Below are 4,008 nucleotides of genomic sequence, written 5' to 3'. Positions count from 1 at the left end.
GCAAGGTGGAGAGGAGCTTCATCGAGTGACAGAACAACTCCCAGGAGACCTGAAATGGGTAGCTCCTTTCTCCATGCAGGTCCTGACAAGTGTCCAGCTGTCAGTGGAGAAGCAACCCACAGTAGGGAGCTCCTTTCCACAGGCAGGTGATTCCGAAGAGTCAAGGAGACCCAAAGTGGGCAGCTCCTTCCAGCTGCTGGTAGTCCCAACCTCTTTGTGAATCAGGCTATGTCTTGGGTTTTTATGGGTTCAAAAGGGAGGAAGTGTGTGCTGATCGGTCTATAAACAACCATGCATGGGCCTGGAAAGTTCACCATAAGTTTTCACTCCAAGTAGCAGACTCCACCTGAAACTGGCAGCCTGGCCCCCAGGCTTCAGGCCATCACTGGTTTGAAGGTAGGGGACCCACCTCTTTCCATCCAGGAATCTCTGTCTGCCTTCCATCATCAACATGTCTTCTGTGGAGTCCAGGCTTTTCGTGCTGAGGGGTGCCTGCAGATCTGCACTGAGCCGCCCTCAGCCCCCCAGTCCCCCTCCCACGCTCTTTGGTATCCAATGCTCAGCAGGGACTGAGGCAGCGGCAGGTCGGCTGGTGCATCAGTGCTGTCCCAATTGCATGCACACCAGGCCAACAGCACCTGGGCTCAGCTACAACTTTGCTCCACACTGGAGTGGGCGCCAGGAGTGGGGAGAGGCCAGGGAGTAGGAGCAGGCACTTCCAAGTCTATGGAGGCAGGGGAGTTCCTGAGGCTCTGAGAGTACAAGGATGCCCAGGTTCAGAGCAGTGGCTGGGCAGCTGCAGCTGCGCCCAGGAGCGCAGGGCTCCTCCCCCACCAACTTGGTAAGGAGCATGGCTCCTTCCTGTTCCCAGCCCCTGCCAGCTCCAAGGAGCACGCAGCCCTGGCGTTGCCTCCCCTTCTGCAGCCGGCATCCTTGCAGTAGCCACTACAGACGGGTCATCAGCACCATCACTATCACTGCTATCTTATTCCCTAAATTCAAACAATGAAAGTTTACCAGGGAATTTCTTGTTTTTTTATTAGCTATATTAATTATATAATAGACTTTTTCTAAACAAATATTGAGGTGTATAAATCTACAAGTTATTTAGTAATTATAGAGAAAATACAGGAAATGTGTATCCTAGAAAACTACTTCTAAGCATAGCTGTAAGCAATTAAAAGAGAAACTGGGTTTGAGAAAGTTGATAGTATAATTGCAAGAATATCAATAACTTTAATGTGTTAACAGGATTAATTTATATATATAAATCATTTGTTAGACAATTTTGTCAGAGCTGATAGTAAAAGTATAAGTTAGATGGCAGCCTGCATGAGGCTGTGCCAGGCTGCTTGAAGGTGCCCAGCACAGTTGGGAACCCAGGCCAACTTCCCCCGGATGTGTGGCTCCATGTGGGGGCAATGGAGCTGAAGCCTGAGCTGCTGCTGCATGAAGCTCATGAGAACGTGGAGGTGACACGGAGCTCCAGGCGGGAGCTGGGGGAGGCACAGAGGCAGATCAAGGAGTGTGCACCACAGACAAAGGATGTTCTCAAACAGCATTTTAATGATTTAAAGGGAACCCTTGAGGAGCTCCTGGATGAGCGATTGGTGACCCTTTAGTAAGAGGTGGACATCATTGAGCAGGAGACCATTAAACCATTAGATGACTGCCAGAGGCTCATAGAACATGGAGTCAACACTGCAGAGGACTTAGTCTGAGTAGGTGAGATTGCCATGGTTGGTAGTGTAGAAGAGAATGACAAACTGCATAGCTTTGCCGAAAAGGTCTCACACATTCAGTTGGACAGCTTACCAGAAGTACCTTTACTGGTTGATATGCTTTGTTTATCTGCTCAGTTGGATGACTCAATTCTTATAGTAAAAGACTACATTTCTAAGCATGGAACAGTAGCATCTCTCCCACCAGTACAGATATAAGAACTGAAACAGAAACCTGGAGTCATCACAGTAGGATGGTGTAAGGTGGATGATGATTTTACAGCCCAAGATTATAGGCTCTAATTTTGCAAACGTACTTCAAATCATTATGAGGATGTACATGTAGGTTCTGAAACTCAATTCATAGTACTGCACATGGACTCCAATTTTGATTATCAGTCCAAAGTCTGCACCTGAGGAGATGGTCAACAGGACTGGAGCCCTGAAGTGTCCCCCAGATAGGTCATTTCACATTGGTGCCTCATGAGTGGACAGCTGGTTTTGAGGGGTACAGTCTGAAAGTCGAAGTAATATTGCATTCTGGAATGATTCTCAATCCTCAGGTGTTCTCTACTCTAGAACTCCAACTTATTTCTGTGGGCAGACATTAACATTCAGAGTTGAAACTGTGGGACAGAAGATACAGTATGGGGTGTTTGCAGAAAAACAGAATGGATATGACTCTCTGCAGCAGGATCAAGCTATATGTATGAGTACAAATGGTGAAGTTTTTGTTAATGGAAAAGAAATGACTAATGAGTTAACTTCAGTTACTTCTGTGTGCACTGTCACATTTGACACTGAAGCTGTCACTCTAGGAACCACCAATAATAATGAAGGCAGGAACTTCAAGCTTCGAGTAACAATTAGCTCAAATAACAGAGAAGTGGTTTTTAATTAGTTACTCGATCAATCTTGTGGTTCTCTTTACTTTGGATGCCCATTTTTCTATCCTGGATGGAAAATATTAGTGTTTTAGATGTTTGTGTGCTTCGCTTTGGTTTTCAGGGTTTAACGTAGTTGGTCTTCAGCCCAGTTTAGTTTTAATTTTTTTTTTTTTAAAGTAGTTGCACTCATCTCTCACTTAAGCTATTGGAAATAGAAAATATTTACTGAATTCATTTCATAATATTTTAACAAAAAGAGACTTGAATGTTGGGGAAAATCTTGTAATTCAGTCAATTTTATTTTTAGCATACTGTTAACTAAAATATCACGTCATAATAGAAATCCAATTGACTTTAGAAGTATGAGAAGATATAGAAAGTTCTTACCCTTCCATCGCGTTTCTTAAAGTTGGTTATTAGACTAGGAAAACAATGTAATATTATTTTTTAAACCATCTTAAAAGATCCAAGTCCATGTAAATCTTTAGAATAAAACAAGAGAAACAGACCACATAGTAGAAGTTATGTGATACACATTCATTCATATGCTGTCCACCTGAATTTATTGGCAATACTCTCCATGTTCAGGTACTTATAAGCAGTGTTGACTTTTATCCCATCTTCAATAATTTTTAAGTCCCCCAAACATTCTAATTTTTGCATTTTTAAAATGCCTGAGTAAATGTCTATTATAGGCAAGTATTATCTTTTGTTCTTTTATTGCAATTTGATTCAAGACAGACTACACTATTTTCATAGGGTCAAACTACCTATGGAAGTAGTATGCACAGCAGTGTTAGCCATTTCACATGTATGTAATATGCACATGTGTGTATCTAGCCTGTGACATAATTTTACTTTTTTGGAGTGTGAGCTGCAGTCCAGTTTAATGTCAGTTGATAAATGGTCACTTAGCGGACCAAAAAAATATGGGGCAAATACTTAACTTAATTTTTTGAAAACTTAAATTTGTGTGTAAAAATTTACTTGAAAAGTTAATATGTAAAAATAAGAATCTTAACATGCTATACCGGCCTACAAATTTTATTTTACTGTGAATTCTTTTTTCATTTTTACCAATAGTAAAAAAGTAGAAAAGCAAGTATGACCTTATTGTAAGATAATTTATTTGTGGATTCATGTTCCCTGTTAGACAATCATGACCTTTTCTCCTTGTCTTTTTATGTATAAGTAAGTAGAAGCTCACTTGTTTAAGGATTAAGAAGCTTTCCAGAATGTAGGTACCTTGTCCATCGATCTGAATCAAAATAAATAACTAAAAGTTCAAAAAAATAAGTAATTTGGCAACATTCTAAATAGGAACAAAAATGTAAATAAGAGGAGTCATAATATATTTCCTTTTCATTCTAGGATATAAAAGTTCTGTATAAATTTCAGTA

General features: G+C 41.0%; 1 pseudogene; it reads left to right on the top strand.

The window, feature by feature from the left end:
* On the top strand, positions 1,370-3,553 carry CRLF3P2 (CRLF3 pseudogene 2; annotated as a pseudogene).

Source organism: Homo sapiens, chromosome 5 (assembly GCF_000001405.40).
Source record: "Homo sapiens chromosome 5, GRCh38.p14 Primary Assembly".
NCBI classification, from domain to species: domain Eukaryota; kingdom Metazoa; phylum Chordata; class Mammalia; order Primates; family Hominidae; genus Homo; species Homo sapiens.
Note: the sequence above shows the minus strand (reverse complement) of the source record. Positions and strands in the feature narration are given on the sequence as shown.